This window comes from Homo sapiens, chromosome 12 (assembly GCF_000001405.40).
Source record: "Homo sapiens chromosome 12, GRCh38.p14 Primary Assembly".
NCBI lineage: Eukaryota > Metazoa > Chordata > Mammalia > Primates > Hominidae > Homo > Homo sapiens.
Genome location: NC_000012.12, coordinates 96,841,775 through 96,866,327, shown reverse-complemented (window position 1 = coordinate 96,866,327; position 24,553 = coordinate 96,841,775). Strand labels below are relative to the sequence as shown.

The following is a 24,553-nucleotide window of genomic DNA, read 5'->3' as shown; positions in this document are numbered from 1 at the left end:
TAACTAATGAATTTAATTATGAAGAAAACTGCTGTCACTGAAACCTTCTTCTTAATCATGCCTGTACTTATGACAAAAAATATCTGTTGCTATAGAAATTTTAGAGTCAAAGTTGCAATTCATAAGGCTCTACTGAAGTGGAAAGTAGAAATAGAAAATGAGTGTTAGTAAAGAGAAACTTCTTTCTTAATATATTTTTTAACATCAAAATTATGGATGATAGATGGATTTTACAAGTAAATCTCATTTTGCATAACAGTCATGTAAAAAGTTCTGCATATATCTAATTTTGGAAAATCAAATAATTTAAATTATAGTGAGGAACTTACAATGGATAGGAATTGAACAGGGAATCTGACTCAATTTAATTAAACATTTATTAAGGCTCTACTATCTTATATTGAAATTTAATAGTTTCATAGATTGAGTTTTCTAAAATTGGGCATATGTATATAGTTTAACATTAGTTTCAAAATGATTTTTAGTTGTCATTAAAACCCAAAATAATGAAACCAGATGTGAACTACTCAGTTCCAGTCATATAATGAGATGAGAATCATAGTTCAATTTATTAGTTATTTACTGATAGGCGAGCCAATAACTATACAAAGCTTGCCAACCAACAAGATGAGGAAGGGAATCGATGTGTTTTTAATTTATGAAACACATTATGTATGCAAAAGAAGTAGAGACTAATATAACAAACATTCAGCTTAAGACAGAAAATTTTACAAAGACAAATGAAACCTCCTGAGCATTTTCCCTAGATTTCATCCTCCCTCCTTTATCCAAGAGGTGACCACAAACCTGAATTTGGTGTCAATCATTAATGAACTTGTGTTAAAAATATTTTTAGTATATATGTACTCATCCATAAATACTGTATTATGTTGTTTTGCCTGTGTTTAAGCTTTATACAAATAGTATACAATGGTATCTTCTTACATATATCCTGCAACACTTGATTTTCTTTTGCTAAACCTGCTTTTGAGATGAATCCAGATTGATATATATCTCTGTTATTAATCCATTTACGAATGTTGTTTAGTTATTCATTATTTACTTATTTGTAACTTCTATAAAATATTCTCTTGTATGACTATGCCACTATTTCTTTATCCATTCCACCTGATGGATATTTCATAGGTTTTCCTTTGTTTTTACTATTATAATCAATGCATCAGAAATTTGCACAAGTCTTGTTGGGCAAATGGGTGGGAGCTCATTTTGTAGAATATACCATAACATTTCAAATGAGAGAAAATGGCAAAGAGTAGTTAAGCAGTGGACTTCTGGGTTCACTGTTTTCTCCCCTAACCCCATTAGGGGCTTGTTCAAGCCTATGCACACATAGATAATATTAAATAAATAATAATATTTAAATCTTTTTTATGGATGAAGATGTGTTGGAAGACATGTATATTTCATTTAAGTTTTCAGGTTTTATGGGCATCCTATAAGTTCCATGATGCATTAGGAAAAACAATGTACCCAGTCTCAAACTGAATGTAACCTAAAGTAATGTGGAGCAGGCTCACACACTTACGACACTCTTGAGCTACTGTCTAAGGCTGTTATATGAAAATACAATACAAAACTATGTGTCCAAGGACACTGTTAAGAGCCAAATGAGCAGGGCACCTGGAAGTACTCTAGGAGTCCTCGGAGGCAGACACCCTTCTGCATGGTCATTTGAACTGGATGGAGGGATTTGCATGATGTTGCTCAAAAGGGGCAGGAAGGGGCAATGCAGACTGCAGGCAGAAACCAAGTTTCTGGAGAGTACATTTCTACTCTCCAGAAATTTACCACTTCCCTCCTGCAGTTCTGTGACGAACACGTTGGCTGAGCTGGGGACTGTGTAAAGTGCCTATGCGTGAAGTGAACCAAGACCACTGCATTTAAGCCTCTGAATAGCTGGCCAGTGGTCAATTTCTAAAGCAATCTCTTGGAGGTTGATATGGAGAAAGATATGGGAAGTGCTGCAGTTTTATTACCTATCACTTAGCTGCTGGCATGGGCTTCTCTTCGCTCTTTCCTGACTTCCCTCGCCTGTGTCTGTTCCCCTTCTTCTCCCCCTTTCAGTTTGCCTCCTGTCATTCTCTGTTATAATTAAAACAAATAGAAAACATTGCAGGTGTCTGCTATAAAGCATTTGCAGATACTGTATATTTTTAAAAACCAGCTGCAAATTGTGTAATTTGGTCTTTAAAAAAACTCTGAAAGACATTTCTGGAAATAAACACATCTTTCATCCTGTAGATTTTGAATTTTCTTTTTGTTTGTACTTCAGCCCAGTTCATCATCATTTCCTTACCGCCTTGCACAGAAAGTTACAGCTTTAACCAGTGAGTGTTGCTCCTATTTTAGAAAAGATGGGGAATTTTGGAATGATGGTTTAAAACGGGGAAACTGTTACTGTATGGTCTGGTGCAGTTTTAGACAGTATTTCTCTCAGGCAAAACAACACTCAAGAATAACAGCATCTGTAAGAACTGAAAGTGAAGAAAAAGTAAAAAAAAAAAAGTGCTGAAATGTTATCTGCAATAGTTGGAAGAGCTCTGCCTTCCCCAGAGGAAACCAGTATATTAGCACAAATAACTGATAACATGGGGGACCCCCTTCCATGGATTATTGGGGCATCCATTCAGATCTGCAAGTCATTTTTTAAAATCGGCCCCCAGGGCAGATGACAGGTGTCCCAGTTTTAGCTTGAACCTCAACTATGTCTTCCTCTCCCTTTACTATCCAATTTCCCAGAGCCATGGAGTGGGTAGAAGGGCAGAGGAGGCCAGCTTAGCGATGAAGAGCTCAGATTCTTCCGGGAGGATTTAAATCCTGGCTCTACTTCCGACTAACTGTGATTGTTAGCCAAGTTATTTAACTGCCTTATGTTTTTGTTTCCTCGTCTATAATATGGGGTCAGTAATACTATGTGCATCGTGGTCATAATTCTTGTGAAGACAGGAGGGAGAAAATGCACTGAAGCACTTACAAATATGTGCCTGTCAGGTAAATGCTCCAGAAAGGGTAGGCAATAATGTTAGCGGTAATGATGGTGGAGTGTTGGTGATACCTCTGCCTCCCTCCTTTTTTTAGAACTCCATAGTGCCATCTTTCCTGGATTATATCCATCCATCCATCCATCCATCCATCCATCCATCCATCCATCCAACAAATATAGACCTATGTGCCAGGTATTGTTCTAGGGTTCTATAAAAATAGTACAAGCACTTACATTCACTAAAGTAAAGAAAAACAGAAAGTATCTAACTAGTAAAAACTTACTAGTGACAAAAACCAGAAGATGGGCATTTATATTCATGGGAAATTAACATGAGGTTGAGGTAAATGGTCTTGGTTATGAGTCATGCTGTTTCCACACCTGTATTAAATGTGTAGGTACTTTGTTGCACCTTTCTTGACCTTGATAACTAGCTTTGCATAATAAATTAAACTCTCACCATTGAGAAATGCAAACCCTTCAAAGTGATCTCCAACTCAGCAAAGAAACGTGTAAACCCCAGCCTCAGACCAAAGGACTCAGAAGCCATCTTCACATAAGAGCCATTACCATCCAAATAGCTTTTCTGTTTGAATCAAACTTTATTTCATATGAGGGTATAGACATCATGCAACAATTTTTCCCTTTGAATTCATGAGTAAATATTTGGTTCTTTTTCTCTTTCATTAAAAGATGGTTTCCTATCAGTCTTCTTGTCTTTTGTTTCTTTCCCTTTCATTATATCTTGCATTCTTATCTGCCCTGGAGGCCAGGCCATCATTCATTCCACTCATTCCTTTCATTCTTCCAATATTTATTAAATGCGTACTAGTGTCAGGAACTTGTCACTTCTCTCCTCAGTCACTTGTAATGGCACCCTATTATCTACTGATTCAATCCTGAAGTCTTCATTCTAGTTCCTCCTTACAGTTTGTTTTCCATCATGACTGTGCACACTCCAGGTAGGTCACAGTCAAGTCCTTTGACTATAAACCATATGTATTTTTGTTTTTATGCCTCTGTTCTCCTTCAGTGTGCCCCCTTCTAGCAAAATTTTTTAACAAATTTTCAACTACCAAAATCTTCTTATCCTTAAATGCTTTGCTAAAGGCTTGTTTCCTCTACATATATTCTAGAACAATTCTACCTTCGCTTTTCCCAGACTTTAGAACTTCATAGATGTCTACATTTAAAAGCTTAGGTAGTAACATAAAATTTCTACTTTTTCTTATATTATCAAAGGAGACTATTTTAAAATGTCAACTGCCAGCTACTATTACCGTTGTTTCATTTTTTTTTAAAAAGGCCTTTTTAATACTAGTAGGAAATTCAGAATAGAGGATGATACATTAAACCAATTTAGCTTTAGAAAAACACATTTGTGTTGTTATTTTTTTAAACCATGAGTATTCATTCACTGACTAGCATCTGGGAAGTATTCACATGTGGCATTTTTAGACACTAGACAAAATGAGTCAGAAATGCACGGTCCTTTTCCAATTTGGCAGGGAAACAATGCTCCCAGCACTCTATTATTACATCAGGCATTGTGCTAAGCACCTTATTAATTCAACTCACCTAATTAATACACACAGCAATCCTATGAGATAGATACCAACATCCCCATTTTACAGATGAAGAAATAAAAGCTTACAGAATTTAAGTTAATTCTCCAAAGTAGCAAAGCTAGCAAATGGCAAAGTTACTATTTAAACCCAGGTCTATACAATTCTAAAGCTGGCACTCTAAAATTCTATGCAATATTGCCTCTCAGAAGTATAAAATATGGAAGGTCTCATTTGCTACAGATTTTTTCCCAAGCCATTTAGAGAATTTCCAAAGTTGAAATTACCACATGTCGGGGTTTAATTGAGGGTTTTTCAAGACTAGCGTTAGTGACATTTTGGGCTTGATAATTCTTTGTTGTGGGAGCCGTCTTGTGCCTTGTAGGATGTTTACTCACTGGATGCCACTAGTACTCTACCCGTGATAACAACCAAATACGTCTCCAGACACTGTCAAATGTCACCTAATGGACAAAATCACTCCCAATTGAGAACCACTGGTTTAATCCAATCTTGCTTTATGGACCTGTCCAAAAACAACCTAAACATAAATGACTCCAAATGTGAAAACAGTTGCACTGCACATAAACTTGTTTTCTATGAATAGCTCTGTAAGATAGTTTTAATAAGCAGCAGCACCGTCATTTAATTCAGGTACAATTTAAGACATTCCTCAAAATAATAATTTTAAAGAAATTTAGCTTGTGTAAAAAAACAATTTTATGTTTGTTGTTATAAGAGGACCGTTCCAAAAACTTAGCTCAAATGAAGAGAAACAACAACAATTAAATCCTGTATAAGGTTACCGTGTATAGGATATTCAGGGAATAATTGACACTATCCAGTTGAAAAGGCTTCCTCCTGATAAAATGCAACCATTAGCCAGATCAAAAAGTCTCTCAAGATTGAATATAGACGGCAGTGAGATATCAAATGGGACCTGAGGAAAAACATAAAAGTGTTCATGAAATGCATTGTTTCAAACTGTTGACAAAGTTCTCAAAATACCCAAATAGCAATTTCTAATAATTTTATATGAAAGATAGCTAACTTGTGTGTCTCAGGTAAGGCACAAAGTTTCATACCTCTAAACTGCTGAAATGGCACACATATCATTCTACATCCTATTAAACAGCAAACACTTCTAAAAACATGGACTATTTGTATTTAGGTAATCATTGTACATGGTTCTAAATGTAAGACTTTTGGCCCTTCTCCTAATAAAACGCTTTCCTGCATAACAGATTGACCAGTTGGCAAATCTCCCTCTCTCATTTGGAGCATAAGTCTTGACACAGTGAAGAAGGATGCACCAGGAAGCTATGTTTGGAGATCAGTGTATCTAAAAGAGGCACCGTGTTATCACGAGCGAGAGCTAGTACAGCCAAAGTCATCCTGGGCAGGCTGAAAAATGGAAAATAAAGACGGCTTTTGTGGTCATAGAACTGGTTATTGATTGGGGGAAGGACAGGGAAGAGAGAACAAAAATGACGGAAAGAAAACAAATGTTTGCTGGGGACCCACTTCATGCCAATCTAGGTATATACTTGTGTAGAATGACCACAATGAGTTACAGCCTTGTGGGTCTGAATCCTGGTTAAAAAAAAAAAAAAAAAAAAAAAAATTAGAGAACAAGTTTTTATTAATTTCTTGTCTACTTGTTAAATAAGCCAGTCATTCATTTTATTCTTAAAAAAGCATAATGAACCTAAATGTGAATATTGTATTTGGAGGCTGGTTTTTGTTAACTTTTTTGTCACTTTCTTGGATTAAAAAAATGATAAAGTATTCCAGTGTTTTCTATAACTGCAAACAATAGAGAGGTGAATAAATAAAAAATTAATAATCTCTCCCTTCCTTGATCAATCCTAATATAATCAATGTTTCCAGATTGGAGAGTATCCTTCCAGATGGTTTTTTTCTTTTTTTTAAAAAAATGGAATTATTAGGTTGCCATTATTGGCTTTTTCAATTAGCAATATGTAAGACAAATCCCTCCTTAATCAATTCAGGGAGACAGAATAACTACACAGTGTTAAGAGTGTGCATCCTGGGGTCAGGTGTGGTGGCTCACGCCTGTAATCCCAACACTTTGGGAGGCCAAGGTGGGAGGATCACAAGGTCAGGAGTTCAAGACCAGCCTGGCCAACACAGTGAAACCCCGTCTCTACTAAAAATACAAAAAATTAACCAGGCATGGTGGTGGGTGCCCATAATCCCAGCTACTCGAAAGGCTGAGGCAGGAGAATTGCTTGAGCCCAGGAGGCAGAGGCTGCAGCAAGCCAAGATCATGCCATTGCTCTCCAGCCCGGGTGAAACTCCATCTCAAAAAAAAAACAAAAAACAAAACAAACAAACAAACAAACAAAAAGTGCATTCTGGAGTAGGACTGCTTGTTTCAAATTCAGACCTCACCACTTACCAGCTATGTGAAACTGGGTAAAATGTTTGATCTGTTTGAACTTTAATTTCCACATGCATAAGCTAGAAATTATCTATTTTGAATTGATTTTTGTATATGGTATAAATAAGGGGTCCAGCTTCAGTCTTCTGCTTATGGCTAGCCAGCTACCCCAGCACCATTTATTGAAGAGGAAGCCTTTTCCCCATTGCTTTTTTTTGTCACCTCTGTTGAAAATCAGATGGTCATAGGTATGTGGCAACATTTCTGGGTTCTCTATTCTGTTCCATTGGTCTATGTGCCTGTTTTTGTACCAGTGCCATGCTGTTGTGGTTACTGTAGTCCCGTAGTGTAGTTTGAAGTCAAGTAACATAATGCCTCTAGTTTTGTTCTTTTTGCTTAAGATTGCCTTGGCTATTTAGGCTGTCTTTTGGTTCCATAATTTTAGTTCCATTAATTTTAAAACAGTTTTTTCTAGTTCTGTGAAGAATGTTGTTGGTAGTTTGATAAGAATAGTGTTGAATCTGTAAATTGCTCTGGACAGTATGGCCATTTTAATGATATTGATTCTTCATTTCAATGAGCATGGGATGCTTTTCCATTTGTTTGTGTCTTCCCTGATTTCTTTGAGCAGTGTTCCATAATTCTCATTGCAGGGATCTTTCACCTCCATGATTAGCTGTATTCCTAGGTATTTTATTCTTTTTGTGGCAATTGCAAACAGTATTGCCTTTTCAACACTATACAAACCCTGAAAGATAACCTAGGCAATACAAAGCTGGACATGGGAATGAGCAAAGGTCTCATGACAAAGACACTAAAAACAATCACAACAAAAGCAAAAATTGGCAAGTGGGATCTAATTAAACTTAAGAGCTTCTGCATAGCAAAAGAAACTATAAGAGTAAACAGACAACCTAGAGAATGGGAGACAATATTTACAAACTATGCATCTGATGAATCTCTAATATCCAGCATCTATGAGGAACTGAAACCAAATTTACAAGAGAAAAACAATCCCACTAAAAAACGGGCAAAGGATATGAACAGACACTTCAAAAGAAGACATACATGCACCCAAGAAGAATATAGTAAAAGCTCAATATCACTGATCATTAGAGAAATGCAAATCAAAACCACAATGAGATACCATCTCACACCTGTTATATTAAACAGTCAAAAAATAACAGATGCTAGTAAGGTTGCAGAGAAAAAGGGAACATTATACACTGTTGGTGGGAGTGTAACTTAGTTCAACCATTGTGGAAAGCAGTATGGTGATTCCTCAAAGAGCTAAAAGTGGAACTATCATTAGACCCAGTAATCCCATTACTGGTTATATACCCAGAGAAATACAAATCATTCTACCATTAAGACTTCAGACATGTGCACACAAATGTTCATTGCAACACTATTCACAATAGCAAAGACGTGTATATTGATCCGTTTTCATACAGCTATAAAGACCTGCCTGAGACTGGATGATTTATAAGAAAAGAGGTTTAATTGACTCACAGTTCCACATGGCTGGCGAGGACTCAGGAAACTTGTAATTATGGCAGAAAGCAAAGGGAAAGCAAGCACCCTCTTCGCGGGGTGGGAGAAAAGAGAGAACAAAGGAGGAAGAGCCACTTTTAAACTATCAGATCTCATGAGAACTCACTATCACAAGAACAGCATGGGGGAAACCACTCCCATTATCCAATCACCTCCCACCAGGTCCCTCCTTGACACATGGGAATTACAATTTGAGATGAGATTTGGGTAGAGATACAGAGCCAAATCATATCAACATGGAATCAACCTAAATGCCCATCAATGACAGATTGGATAAAGAAAATGTGGTACATATACGCCATGGAATACTATGCAGCCATAAAAGAAGAACGTGATCATGTCTTTTGTGGAACATGGATGAAGCTAGAGGCTATTATCCTCAGCAAACTAACGCAGGAACAGAAAACCAAATACCACATTTTCACTTACAAGTGGAAGCTAAATTATGAGAACTTATGGGCACAAAGAAGGAAACAACAGACACCAGGGTCTACTTGAGGGTAGAAGGTGGGAGGAGGCAGAGGAACAGAAAAGATAACTATTGGGTACTAGGTTTGATAAGGTTTGGCTGTGTCCCCACTCAAATCTCATCTTGAACTGTAGTTCCCATAATCCCCATGTGTCACGGGAGGGACCCGGTGGGAGGTAATTGAATCATGGGGACAGCTACCTCCATGCTGTTCTTGTGATAGTGAGTTCTCATGAGATCTGATGGTTTTATAAGGGGCTTTTCCCTCACCTCACTCTGCACTTCTCCTTGCTGCTGCCATGTGCAGAAGGATGTGTTTGCTTCCCCTCGCACCATGATTGTAAGTTTCCTGAGGCCTCCCCAGTCCTGCAGAACTGTGAGTATATTAAACCTCTTTTCTTTACAAATTACCCAGTATCAGGTATGTCTTTATTAGCAGTGTGAGAACAGACTAATACAGTAAGTTGGTAACAGAAGTGGGGTACTGTTGTAAAGATACCTGAAAATGTGGAAATGACTTTGGAAGTGAGTAACAGGCAGAGGTTGGGACAGTTTGGAGGGCTCAGAAGAGGACAGGAAAATATGGAAAAGTTAGGAACTTCCTAGAGACTTAGAGGGCTCAGGAGACAGGAAGATGTGAGAAAGTTTGGAAGTTCCTAGAGACTTGTTGAATGGCTTTGACCAAAATGCTGATAGTGATATGGACAATAAAGTCCAGGATGAGGTGGTCTCAGATGGAGATGAGGGACTTGTTGGGAACTGGAGCAAAGGTGACTCTTGTTATGCTTTAGCAAAGAGACTGGCGGCCTTTTGCCCCTGCCCTCCCTAGAGATCTGTGGAACTCTGAACTTCAGAGAGATAATTAAGGGTATCTGGCAAAAGAAATTTCTAAGCAGCAAAGTGTTCAAGAGGAAGCAGAGCATAAAAGTTTGGAAAATTTGCAGCCTGACAATGCAATAGAAAAGAAAAATTCATTTTCTGGGGAGAAATTCAAGCCTCCTGCATAAATTTGCATAAGTAAAAAGGAGCCAAATGTTAATCACCAAGACAATGGAGAAAACATCACAATTTATGCTCCAGGGCAAGTCAGAGACCTTCGGGGCAGGCCCAGGGTCTAGGAGGGAAAAATGGCTTCAGGGGCCGGGTCCAGGATGGCCCCTCCTGTGTGCAGCCTAGGGACTTGGGGTCCTGCCTCCCAGTTGCTCCAGCCATGGCTAAAAGGGGCCACGGTACAGCTCAGGCCATGGCATCAGAGAGTGAAAGCCCCAAGCCTTGGCAGTTTCCACATGGTGTTGAGCCTGTGGGTGCACAGAACTAAAGAATTGAGGTTTGGGAACCTCCACCTAGATTTCAGAGGATATATGGAAATGCCTGGATGTCTAGGCAGAAGTATGTTGCAGACAGGGCCCTCACGGAGAACCTCTGCTAGGGCAGTACAGAAAAGAAATGTAGGGTCAGAGCTCCCATACAGAGTCCCACTGGGGCACTGCCTAGTGGAACTGTGAGAAGAGGGCCACCATCCTCCAGACTCCAGAAGGGTAGATCCACTGACGGCTTGCACTGTGCACCTGGAAAAGCCACAGACACTCAACACCAGCCCATGAAAGCACCCAAGAGGGGGGCTATACCCTGCAAACGCACAGGGGCAGAGCTGCCCAAGGCTGTGGGGGCCCACCTCTTGCATCAGCAAGCCCTGGGTGTGTGACATGGAGTCAAAGGAGATCATTTTGGAACTTTAAGGTTTAATGACTGCCCTTTTGGATTTTGGACTTGCATGGGGCCTGTAGCCCCTTTATTTTGGCCAATTTCTCCCATTTGGAATGGGTGTATTTATCCAGTGTCTGTACCCCCATTGTATCTAGGAAGTAACTAACCTTCTTTTGATTTTACAGGTTTATAGGTGGAAGGGACTTGCCTTGTCTCAGATGAGACTTTGGAGTTGGACTTTTGAGTTAATGCTGGAATGAATTAAGACTTTGGGGGACTGTTAGATGGCCTGATTGTGTTTTGAATTGTGAGGACATGAGATTTGGGAGGGGCCAGGGGCAGAATGAAATGGTTTGGCTGTGTCCCCACCCAAATCTCATCTTGAACTATAGTTCCCATATTCCCCATGTGTCATGAGAGGGACCTGGTGGGAGGTAATCTAATCATGGGGGCAGTTACCATCATACTGTTCTCGTAATAGTGAGTGAGTTCTCGTGAGATCTGATGGTTTTATCAGGGCCTTTTCCCCAACTTCACTGCACACTTCTCCTTGCTGCCCCCATGTGAAGAAGGACATGTTTGCTGCCCCTTCTGCCATGATTGTAAATCTCCTGTGGCCTCCCTGGTTCTGCAGAACTGTGATTCAATTAAACCTCTTTCCTTTACAAATTATCCAGTCTTAGATATGTCTTTATTTAGAACATACTAATACAGGCTTAATTCCTCAGTGATAAAATAATCTGTACAACAAAGCCCCAAGACATGAGTTTACCTATGTAACAAACCTTCACATGTATTCCGAACCTAAAATAAAAGTTAAAAAAAAGACATTATAATAGTTCCTATATCATCTTGTTACAAGGATTAAATGAGTTTATTCAAATAAAACATAGAATGGTACCTGGCATACAATGATGACTCAATAAAGGCTACATATGATTATCATTATTGAACACATCCTTTTAAATGGCTACCTAACACTTCATGGACTGGCTGTATCCTGATTTATACAATCATTCCCTATAGAGTTTTTTTCTAGTTTTTATACATGCTTGCTTATTTATATATATTTTTGTACACAAGTGCTTTCAATTTTTGTACTATTGATTCTCTAAAGTTGTTTTTTAGTCATATGCCATTTACCTTTTACACCTTAACATTTATTGCCAGAATTACTTTCCAAATATGTTGGGGCAATTATCATTTCAACCAGCAATATATGAGGGTTTCCCTACACTCAAGGTAATATATTAGAGAATGTTACACATCTTTGTTGTTGTTGTTGTTGTTTTGCTATTTCGCTACTATTTTTTATTCAGAAAAATACAAGAAACATTTTGGCAAGCTAATGTTAACCGGTTTATTAATATGTTGAAATTATATGTGTTTACCATGATTATTATGGTTGTATCTCTTTGCTACTTAACTGCACTAAATAGTCCACCTATTTTATAGTAATGAATTATCTCATGTCTGACTTAATCCTTTTAGCAGATAATCAAGGTAGGAAACAAAGAAATAATAATTAGCATTAATATATTTGTATTTTCTTTTGTGCTCTATTGCTTTCATTGTGGAATACTTTCCATGTTAAAGATAGGAATGGCTTTTTAAAAAAAATAAAGTGGCTACGTTAATTTTACTTAACATTAGGGTTATCTTCACGACATAATTTATATACTAGATACAAATAGAGCATTTTGGTCTCTGACCTTGTCATTGAGCCTCCAGAGACAAGTGGTCATTTGTCAAAGGATGAAGATTAATTGCTTAGTTTATTTATGGAGGCCACGAGTGAAAGCAACAGATTAGAAAGATAAAATAAAGCAGTTGTCACCCAGGAGTTATTAATCCTTGTTGGTTCTCAGGAGAACACAAACTACCCTAAAATGTCAGAACCGACCCTTGTGTTATTATGCCTTCCTTTCTAGACATTCCAGGCATTTTAAGCCTGTTGGTAGACAAGTCAGATGCTTCAAACTTTAGTTATTTCTATCATGCTAAAATACAGTGCTCTATATTTTCCTCTTGCCAAACACAATTCTTTTAAGTAAAAAGTAAAAATTCTTTTAAGTAAAAATTCTTCTGATTGAATTATAACATGTAGACAGAAAAGGAGAAGTCATAAATGTGCAACTTGCATATACACTTTCTTTCAAAATGAATATATTCATGTAATCATCACCCAGGTCAAGAAATAGAACATGGTCAGCACTCAAGGAGTCTCCCTGGTGCTCCCTCCTAGTCACTGACCAGGTGTGTATATATATGTATTTGTTTTTACTGCATATGAATAGAATCTTGCAATATGTAATCTTTCCTGTCTGGCTTTTTTGAGTTTCATCCATGTTGTTGAATGAAGCAATAGTTTGTTCATTCTTATTGATACGTAGTTTTCATTGTATGAATGTAATACAATTTATTCATTTTTCCAGTTGATGGCCAGTTGAGTTACTTCCAATTTTTTGGTGTTATGAATAAAAATATCTTTTGATGCATATATGTCACATTTCTATTAGGCATATACACCAGGTACATGTATATTCCTCTTTAAGCTGATATCTAAAAATAATTGGATATCTAAAAATAATGTACCTCAACAATTTTCTAATTTATATTTTCCACCAGCTCCAGTTATTCCACATCTTCACAAACTCTGACAATTTCTGTTTAAAACAGTGGCTGTTCCGGTATGTTTTGCATGTGTCATATACCACCATACTATGTTTTTAATGTCACATCCCTGAAAACTAGTAACACTGAACTTAAGTATAGGACTCTGTTGAAGTACAGGTCTTTGGTCCAATTTATATTGAGGTGTCTTTTTCTCATTCATATATACAGGAATTCTTAATATAATCTAGAAACAGGTCCTTTGTTGGGGTATATATAAAAATTTCTCCCACTCTGTGGCTTGCCATTTTGCCCTCTTTATGGTATCTTAAAATATAGTCCAATCCATCAGTCTTTTCTTTATGATTGGTACTTTCAAAAGTGCATCCTATTTATGAAAGCTTTGCTAACACCAAGGTCATGAAGATAATCTCTTATTATTTCCTCTAGCTTTATTGTTTTATCTTCCACATTTATTGCCACAATCAATTTGGAATTCACTTTGTATATTCTGTAAAGTAAGGGTTGAGGTGCATTATTTTTAGATATCCAATTGACCCAACTCATTTATTGAAAAGATGAGTTACCTCTGTCATAAATCATGGGATTGTATATGTATGGATCTCTTCCTGGACTTATTATATAGAAATACAACGGAGAGTCCAGATAGATGAAGAGAGAGCATTTCTATTCTATAAATATATAGAGACTATCTACCTACCCACCTACCTACCTATCCTCTCTAACTCTATTTATCTATACTTACAGCAATCTCATGCAGTGTTATTGTAGCTCTTTAATGAGATTTGATAGGTAGAAGTTTAAGTCCCTCCACTTTGTTCCTTTTAGATGGTCTTAGCTATTCTAGGTCCTTTGTATGTCCATGTGAATTTTCTGGTACTACTATAAATGAGAGTTTAATTTTTTAAAATTTCTGATTATTGCTTCTGTTATATAGAAACAAAATTTATATTTCCAGTGATAGTACAGACAGCAACTTTGCTAAATTCACTTATTCATTCTAAGAGTTTTTCTGAAGACTATTTTGGGTTTTCTATGTCTGTGAATAATGAAAGCTTTCTTTCTTTCTTTCCCATACTTACACCTGTTAAAAATTCTTCCTTTATTTCACAGGCTAAGAACTCCCATACAATGTTAATTAGAAGTGATGATAGGGTATTATTAACATATGACTAGTTGATTTTACAATTCAGGAGACAGGAAGGTTTTTTAAATGAATAGTATAGAAAAGTTGTCTGTTATTAAAACTACATCCTTATCTTTACTTATATCCTGTACTATTTTTGTTAAATTTATTCCTAGGCATTTTATAATTTTGCCACTATTTTAAAAATTTCCATTTTAAATTATTATTCCTAGAAGAAAGAAATTATTAATTTTTATATCCAGCCACTTTATCAGATTCTCTTAGTTCTAATCATTTCTAAAAACGCTTGGGTTTGGGTTTTAAAATGATAGTATTTACAAATAAATATAAGTTTGCCTGTTATTTCTTAATATTTATGTTTACAGATTTTATTCTCTTGCCTTATTACAAGAGCTAAAACTTTCAAAATAATCTGGATTCACAGAGGAGATAATGAGCTTTATTATTTGGAAAAACTGCTACTTAAATTAGGAATAGAATTAGAATTAGGAAACCACCTAAATATGGTCAGGATACATTTATGAAGCAAACATTTTACTAAATATTAAAAATTAAAAAGCCACTACCTTCGAAATCATGAAGACAAGTTTTTAAAATGTTAAGTTAGGTGAAAATGTAAATTTATTTCATAGTCAAAGCACATCAATGTCATAAATATTAAGTGAACGTGAATGTGCTTTAGAAAGTCAGAGTTATACCTTCTCCCCAGAGAGTTCAAGATTCTAAAAAAAAAATAAAATTTACATAATTTCAAATAAAATGATAGCATTAAAAGGTAAAGTATTTCTTTCAGGACCTGTATTAAAGTGAGCCCACATAACTTTTTACAAAGTGATATGGTTTTTACACTGATATGGTTTGGCTCTGTGTCCCCACCCAAATCTCATCTCAAATTGTAATCACCACCTGTCAAGGAAGGGAACTGGTGGGAGGTGATTGGATCACGGGGGTGGTTTCCTCCATGCTGTTCTCCTGATAGCGAGGGAGTTCTCAAGAGATCTGATTGCTCGATAAGTGTCTGGCATTTCCCCTGCTTGCTCTCTCTCTTGCCTGCTGCCATGCTCTCTCTCTTGCTTGATTCCCCTTTGCCTTGCACCATGATTGTAAGTTTCCTGCCATGCAGAACTGTGAGTCAATTAAACCTCCTTTCTTTACAAATTACCCAGTTTCAGATAGTATCTTTATAGCAGTGTGAGAATGAACTAATATACACACCCATGAGACCTAGAGACTTTAAGGGACTTGCCCAAGGTCTCTCAGCTATTTAGTATCAGAGCCAGGATCCACACCTAGGAAGACAGGCTCTCAGAACATGTCCCTCTCCAATCTGCAGCACTGCCACTCCCCTACCTGACAACTATGCTCTGAGTTCCCTCCCGCGATGTCTGTCAACCATTGGCAAGTCCAAGGCTCTCCATGAAACGCTCCTGCTTCGTGCAGCCTCTCCCACTCCCCTGAATCAGACTCCTGCTCCGCCCTTGGCTCAGTGCTATTTTTTTTTTTTAAGACAGAGTCTCACTCTCTGGAGTGCAATGGTGTGATCTCTCACTGCAACCTCCACCTCCTGGGAGGCCATTGTCCTGCCTCAGCCTCATGCCCGGCTACTTTTTTTTTTTTTTTTTTTTTTAGTAGAGACAGGGTTTCACCATGTTGGACAGGCTAGTCTTGAACTCCTCACCTCAAGTGATCTGCCCGCCTCGGCCTCCCAAAGTGCTGGGATTACAGGCGTGAGCCACCGTGCCCGGCTGTGCTCTCTTGGCATGTTTTTCCAGCTCAGCTTTTGGAAATTTTACAGACGACTCTAGGGCTGCCAAAGGGAATTAGAGATCTTTTATGTTTGCTTGCTTGTTGTAAATATCTTTGAGTCCAAATTGCCCGGGAAAGGGTACCAAGGTTCCATTCCCTAGGTCAGGAAAGGCTTTGTGGAGATGAGGGAATAAAACAGACTGGCAGATAAAAGACTGTGAATTAGTTAGTTCAACTAGGTTACACTTGAAGGAGCTATTTGAAAGAAATGGTGATGATTTTGTCTGCCTAGAGAGGATGAAAGTCTGAAATAGTAAGAAGAAGGGAAAGGAAATTAATCAAGTGGGGGCATACTGCAGGGGGTTCATTAAAATCTGGCCTGAATTGAACTTGTCTGGGAAAGTTTTGAAAGCCATTACAGAGTTAAAGGTTATTTGCCAATGCTTTATTTTATATGAGTTTCTGCATGATTACTACATTCTATCATAATAAAGATTTTATTACTTGTGCTTTTGTGTTCCAACAATTTTCCTTAATCAAAAGGAAAATCATGTAGTCTTCAAAGAATCTACGATTTTTCTCAATCCAATTAGATTTTGTTGAGCACCTACTCTGAGGCCTCTTCCTTCTCTCTGCACACTGTCAGTTACGTTTTCATCAATTCTAAGCGTTCCATGACCAAAAGAATAGAGGTGGAGGAGCCAAATGCTTACTAATCAATTAGGCATGCCTATTCTTTTAATTGATAAGTGGGATATTGAACAATTGAGAGACTTGTGATATGGATGGATTTAACTTTGCCTCCTTTCAAAAACCTTAAAGCACAGGGAGCAAGAGCCATGAAAAAAAACTTTAATAGCTTAAAGCAAATAGTATTTTCATCCAGCATTCTCACATATGAGTTTCTCCACCATATTTTCTATTTTTTCTTAATACATCACTTTTCTCTGAAGTTAATGATTTATTGGATTTTTTTCTAGACTGGGGAAAAACATGCATTCTAAAGTAGAAAGGATAATATGACACGAGCTTACTTAAGAATCAATATCATGAATGACTGGTGATCCATCTCATAAAGGTTCCAGATGAGAGGGACCTAGATATATTTGCTTTCACTGTACTTTATATGATTAAGAAAATCCCAATACCAGCAATAATAGATAATATTCTCCCCAATCTAACAGGAATAGCATCCAACTCTCAGGAAGGTAACAGGGCTTTTCCACAGCTCTGCCAAACCATAGAAATTTCACACTTTGTGAAGAAAGAGATTATCTTTTCATCACCCTAACTTTTGTGTTAATAAAACTTTAAATATGACAAAAAAGGGGTTTTTTAAACATAATATGAGATCAAATGGTTATATTGGTGAGACAGTAGAAATCTTTTTTTTTCTTTCTTGAGACGGAGTCTCGTTCTGTTGCCAGGCTGGAGTGCAGTGGTGCGATCTCAGATCACTGCAACCTCCACCTCCCAGGTTCAAGTGATTCTTCCTGCCACAACCTCCCAAGCAGCTGGGACTACAGGCACATGCCACCACACCCAGCTAATTTTTGTATTTTTAGTAGAGATGGGGTTTCACCATGTTGGCCAGGATGGTCTCGATCTCTTGACCTCGTGATCCACCTGCCTTGGCCTCCCAAAGTGCTGGGATTACAGGCGTGAGCCACTGCACCCAGCCAGTAGAAATCTTTTAATATTAAATATTAAATAAATAACATTATTTTGGTTGGGCACGGTGGCTCACGCCTGTAACGCATTTTGGAAGGCTGAGGCAGGCGGATCATTTGAGGTAAGGAGTTCAAGACCAGTCTGGCCAACATGGTGAAACCGTCTCTACTAAAAATACAAAAATTAGTCAGGTGTGGTGGTGCATGCCTGTAATGCCAACTACTCGGGAGGCTAAGGCAGGAGAATCACTCAAACCTGGGAGGTAGAGGTCACAGTGAGCCAAGATTGTGCCATTGTACTACAGCCTGGGCAACAGAGCAAGACACCGTCTCAAAAACAAAACGAAACAAAACAAAAATAACATTATTGTAAAAGGCATTTTGCAGAGAATAAGAAAATTGGAAATTAGAAGATGTAGGAGAGAAAGCATTTGTGCAGAGAATTGGTTCAAATGTTACATTGTCTAAGAATAGAAGAATAGATTATTCTTGAATCACCATCACCATCACTACCATTGTCATTGTCACTTTACAACGACAGAGCCACAGCTGTGCCTGGCATTTCCTTGAGCTCTAGAGCAGAATGTACCTATTAATAAAGGACAGTTCTTGCTTAGACACATCATCCCACATGCACAGACAACCAAACATTTCAGCCAAATCCAAAACATTTCAACAACATGAGGGGTTCTGTCTCCCTTCTCACATCTAAGTGGATGTTTTGAACAGTGGCCTCTTTATTGGAATGCATAAGAAGCACCTCCATGAGACAGGATATATTGCAGGAAACTGCAGCCACTGAAATATATGTTTAAAAATCAATTTCAAGTTATGTTTATTGTTTAGAGTTGTGGTACAATAAAAAATAAACATTTGGTCTTTGTCCTGGGTTCCTGGCACAGAGCTCCTAAAACAGTTGGAACTGACCATCTTTTATATACTAAGGGGTAGGGGGAGTGATTAAACCCAATCACCAATAGCTGATGATTTAATCAATCATACCCATGTAATAAAACTTCCATAAAAACGCATAAGGATGGGTTCTGGGGAGCTTCCGGGATGGTGCACAAGTAGAGCACAGGGAGGGAGGGGAGCTCACCAGGAGAGTGCTGGGAGGGAGGGCAGCTCACCAGGAGAGTGCTGGGAGGGAGGGCAGCTCACCAGGAGAGTGCTGGGAGGGAGGGCGGCTCACTGGGAGAGGGCATGGCTGCTTCTTGCCCCTTCCCTGTGCTCTGCCCTATGCATCTCTTTTATCTGGGGTTCCTGTATCCTTTATAAATTGGTTATCATAAATAAAGCACTTCCTGTGTTCTGTCAGCTGTTCTATCATATTACTGAATCTGAGGGGAGGGTCCTGGCAACTCCTAAATATCTAGTTGGGCAGAAGTGTGGGCATTCTGGGAACCCCATTTGCAGCTGGCATCTGAAGTGAGGGAAGTCTCACAGGACTGAGCCCTTAACTGTGGGGTCTGTGCAAACTCTGGGTAGTTAGTATCAGAATTGAATGGAATCATTGGACACCCAGTTGGTGTCAGAAAATCATAGAATTGCTTGGTGTCAGGAAAAGCTGCACAACTGTCATACCTGGTATTATGCAAACCAGGACAGTGCTCAGCTAGAGAATACCTTTGGGGTCACTGGTGCCTTTCCCTCCTTGGCACCCAGTCTGCACGCACAGCCCTTCATACCCTATTCCAGGCTCAGCCAAGGCACCACTTGATGAAAAGTGATAGAGTTGACAGTATCACCTCCACCATGGGCATATGCTCTTTATAGGGAACTATTTAAGAAAACCATTCTATACGACCAAAGGAGACCCTTAAGAAAATAGTGAAAGTTTAGGCCGTACATATTCAGACTTACTCTGACTGCTCAAGACTCCAAGGCCTAGAGAAAAAAGCCTTTGAAATCTGACACCCTACTGTGTAGAAAGAACAGCAGCTCTCTTTCCCCAGGAAAGAATTTTTCAACCTGTAAAGAGCTAATAAAGGGTCCCAAACAGGGAACACTCCCTCTAAACTATCAAAAGCTCCAATTAGAGCAGGAAGCATGAGTTACACAACCAACAACTCTACAATAACCTGCACAGGGTGTAGAGGCCTGATGCAAGTTCAGGGCCAGTGGTTCAGGGCTCATAACTGGGGGCTGGAAGGAAAAGTGGAAGGAAGTGGTTTCCTGGACGAAGTATTTAAGAGAAATGGCTACATTCAATGTGTTAAAAAACTAAATGTCTATTCCTCATTCTCTGTGATTAGATGTGATTAATTATATCTTTACCTTTATTTTCAGGGAATGGTTTTAAAACTTTGCTAAGACCTCATTTTTATACTCTGAGAAAATAGTTTCTGTGAGAAACGAAGCCTGAGTTTATTGACTGGATATAGACCAGGGTCTGGCTTATGGAGTTTTATTTCGTTCATAAATTAACTGTTATGATGGAGGTCAAAAGAGAATGTGACTGAACTATGGGTCATGTTGTATAATGTATTTTTAATCCTAAGTGGGTGACACGTGTATGTTTCTCCTTCCTTCTACATTAAAGAGAAACCTTAAGCCAGGAAGCATGTTTCTTAGTTCCTTTAGACTCTTCTAATTCCAATAAATAGAGATTATGTATTCATCACCAGTCAGGGATCTTCATTTTCTATTTTTTGAGTTCATTGTTGGGAAGCCGACTCTGACATGGAACTTAGCTGTCAGAAAGTTTATTAGGATTAGGGAATACCCTTGAGATCACAAGCCATGGGGAAAGGGAAGGAAGCAGTTAGGCAGAGGGAGAAGCTGGGCTGCAATGCAGTCACAGTAAAGGGCTCTGCCAACCCCATGGGGGAATTTTGAGGCTGGGGTGGCCCTTCAGAGTGGTCCTGAATTGTGGTGGTGGTGGGGTTGGGTCTTTGTACTCCCACATCAACCAGTAATTGGATGTGGGCTTCCCTCCAGAAAGAGTTCATGTCCTTCAGTTGAAAGAAGTTGCTAGAGAGGGTTGAGAGTTGAGGGCTGTCAGCCATCACATTCCCAGAGCTGAGAAAACGAAGTTTTCAATCCTGAAGGGGAGGTTTGGGTGGCTCAATGCAGGAGCCACGACAGGCATGAAGATTTAATTTAGTGGTTATACTACCAATAAACAAATAGCAATATGGCTACATGCATACTACTATATAACCAATACAAGCTGTGAGAGATTTAAAGTAATAACTAAGAACTCATACCAAATTTCCAGATGTTTCTTTTCTGGGTCATGGTAAAATAAGCCTAATACATTTCCAGCATCACTTACATTAATCTATTACTTGATTACCCTTAGGAATACTCCATGCTCTAGAATGTAAGAAAAACTAGAGATTAAAGAGGAGTAAAAATTAGATTCAAAAATAATATCTTCCTGTAAACTTAAATATGAAGAAATTCAATAATTCTACCTGAATTCTAACTTTACTTGAGAAGTTCTGTATGGAAGCTCTAGAACTTTCCATAACACTTCCAAAAGTTGAAGCTAGAAAAGCATGGGTGTCCAGAGAGCACTGAGCCAAGGGAAGGAGCAGGAAACTGAGTCAGGTGGGAGAGGGAGAGGCTGCACAGAGCAGGGGCGTTTCATACAGAACCTTGGACTTGCCAGTGGTTGACAGACACGGTGAGAAGGAGCTTAGAGTATAGTTGGGAGCTGGGGGAGTGCCCAGGTGTGGATCCTGGCTCTGACACTAACTAGCTGAGAGACTTTGGGCAACTCTTCAGGCCTCAGTTTCTCACATGTAAAAAAAGGATGATAATAGTATCTATCTTAACTAGAAAAAGGAATTTGAAGCCACAGGCTTAACTTCAGAATGTACTTATGTATTCATTTCTTACTGCTGCTGTAACAAATTTACCACAAATTTAGTGGCTTACAACATGAATTTATTCTCTTATAGCCCTGTAGGTTGGAAATCTGAAATCATTTCCCTGGGCTAAAGTCAAGGTGTCAGCCGGGCTGGTTCCTTCTGGAGGCTCTAAGGGGAGAATCTATTTATTTGCCTTTTTCAGCTTCTAGAGGCTGCCTGTATTTCTTGACTTGCACCCCTTTCTTCACCTTCATGGCTCATCACTCCTGTCTCTGCTTCCGTCATCACATGGCCGTCTCCTCTTCTGGTGTCAAATCTCCCTCTAGCTCCCTCTCATAAGGATACTTGTGATGACATTTAGAGATCACCTGGATCATCTGCCCCTCTCCCCATCCTTAACTTAATCACATCTGCAAAGTCCCTTTTGGCATATAAGGTAACAGATTCTGGGGGTTAGGATGTGGACCACTGTGGAGCGCCATTGTTCAACCTACCACAACATGTCTGAAATGCAATGGTTTAGTCAATAAAAATATAATATTTGTATCACATTTGCTCCAAAGAGCTTTGGTAGTTGAAGTTATTGAATTATTTCTATTTAAAAATTCATGGCATGCCTGCAAATGCCTATTGTGCCAAAAATTATTAGGTTCACTAAAGTATATACTTGCACCTTTACAATGCTCTAATCACATCCTTGTGTGTTAGATTGAGACTGATAGGGTATAAGCAAAAATTCTGACAGCTACTCCAGGCAGCCTCTTAGAAATGTTCACCCTAATTTATTGTCCAAATTAGGATTTTTTACAGAGTAAAAGGAATTTATGTATTTATGAATCACAACTGTAACTCGACACATGTAAATTGTGATTGTGCCCGGCAAACTGGGATGTATGGTCACTCTATGTAAAAATATCCTGTAAAATCCTCTACCCCTCTTTTCTCCTGCAGTGGTTTCCTTAGAGGTCATGCAGTGCAGACAGCAGTTACAAGTTGAAGGAGAGTCGCCCAACTCTCACTGGACTTTGCATGAGAAAGAAACAACCCTTTATTGCCACTGAGATTTGGTGCTTATTTGTTAGCACAGCAGAACCTACTCTATCCCAACTACAACTTATGCACTGGCAAGCTTGTTCTATCCTCACTGTATTTCTGAAAAGGGGGAAATTCCATTACAGTAAAGGTTTAGTTCCATTTAAACGTCAGGGATTGGAATCTCAGCAGCAAAGTTATAGCAAGAAATGGTATTACTGGCAACCTTATAACTGGGTTCCCTCCTGAAGGGCTCTGTGGACTCTGCCTGTGGGTTTTTGACCTGCGATATAGAAATGAAAAAGCCAGACTCCTAACAATACTTGGCATTTCTTGATGCTTTTTTATGAAGGAGCTCACTGGGCCTAACTTCTAGCAACTAGGAATGGGAGGCTCTTTTTTAGAACAAAGGCTTTATAAAGAATATGAACTAAAGTCTGCATTTTGTTCCTGGGACTTCGTTGCCTAGAATCAAAGCATGACAGGCTTTGTTAGCAGCTCCCACTGCAGTAGCAAACCAGAGGACAGACCTTGTGGGTCCAGTGGAAAGAAATCCTGCTCATGCTGACTTCTTTATTCACATCAGTATACATCACTAGCAGCTGCAAACTGTTCTTATAAGGCAGCCAATAGTAACTGGCAATTTCTTATAGCAACTCTAGTAAAATCTATAACTTACAAAGAAATTGCACATAAATTATTTCATTTAACTCTTTTTAGTATTTCTAACTCAAACAATTAGCCTTTGTCAGTTAATATTAATAAGATGATGTAGAGAAGCAAAGGGCAAGAAAAAAGTAGTAGGAAGGAGAGAAGAGGAAAAAGGAGGAAGGGTAGTAGTAGGCAGAAGAGGAGCACTTTCGCTGAGTGCCACTGAACATTCACTATTTACTGTGTGCTAGATACCGCACAAAGCACTTTGGGCTAATGATAATTCTGTTGCCAAAATAAAATGTGATAATATTCTTAATTTTTTTTTGTTCATCAAAAGGATAGTTTAATGGCTCTCCACAGAATTTAGCTGAATGAAAAAGGCCAATCTCAAAATGTTACATACTATAAAATTCCTTTTATGCAACATTCTTGAAATGACAAAACTGCCAATATGGAGAACAGATTGGTGGTTGCCAGGAGTTAAGGAGGGGGTGGAATTACTAAAGGACAACAGAGGGGATCCTTGCTGTGATGGAAATGTTCTCTATCCTGATTGTATCACTGTCAATATTTGGGTGTGATATGCAGCAGTTTTGCAAGATGTTACCATTGGAAGAAACTGAGTAAAGGATACACAGTAACTGTATTATTTCTTGTGACTGCATGTGAATCTCTACAATTATCTCAAAATAAATAGTTTAATTTAAAAAGGATGGTTGAGAAATAATATCAAGAATATATATATTATCTGCCACAAATACTTACCAAAAAAAGATACATATTAAAATGGTCATTTACTCTTTGAAATTTACAAACATTTAGATAGGCTAAGTAAGAGTTACTAATGAAGGGAGTTGTTAAAGGTCAAATGAACAAATGATTCATTTCACATTATTTTAAGGCTGGAAAAATAAAGATGACCACAATGTATTGAATGCTTACCACTGGCATTGTACTGGCACTATACTAAATGTGTTAAATATTGCTTCTAATGTAATCCTATCGGAGAAATAGCTTTCACCAATTTATAGATAAGGAAGTGACGCCTAGGGAAATAACTTGTCCAAGGTCATACAACCAATAGGTGGCGGAACCAAGAATCAAACTATGTTTTTGTCAACCAAGATACATTGCTTCAGAGACCTTCGA

The 24,553-nt window shown here is 38.4% G+C and overlaps 1 protein-coding gene across 2 annotated transcripts in view; it reads right to left on the bottom strand.

Moving 5' to 3' along the window:
- Window positions 1-24,553, bottom strand: part of CFAP54 (cilia and flagella associated protein 54) — a 385,979-nt gene that overhangs the window by 9,228 nt on the left and 352,198 nt on the right. For both annotated transcript variants that reach the window (NM_001367885.1, NM_001306084.2), the window contains one exon: window positions 5,376-5,509. In NM_001367885.1, the coding sequence (NP_001354814.1) occupies window positions 5,390-5,509 (120 nt within the window). In that variant the 3' untranslated portion in view covers window positions 5,376-5,389. The remainder of the gene's footprint in view (window positions 1-5,375; window positions 5,510-24,553) is intronic.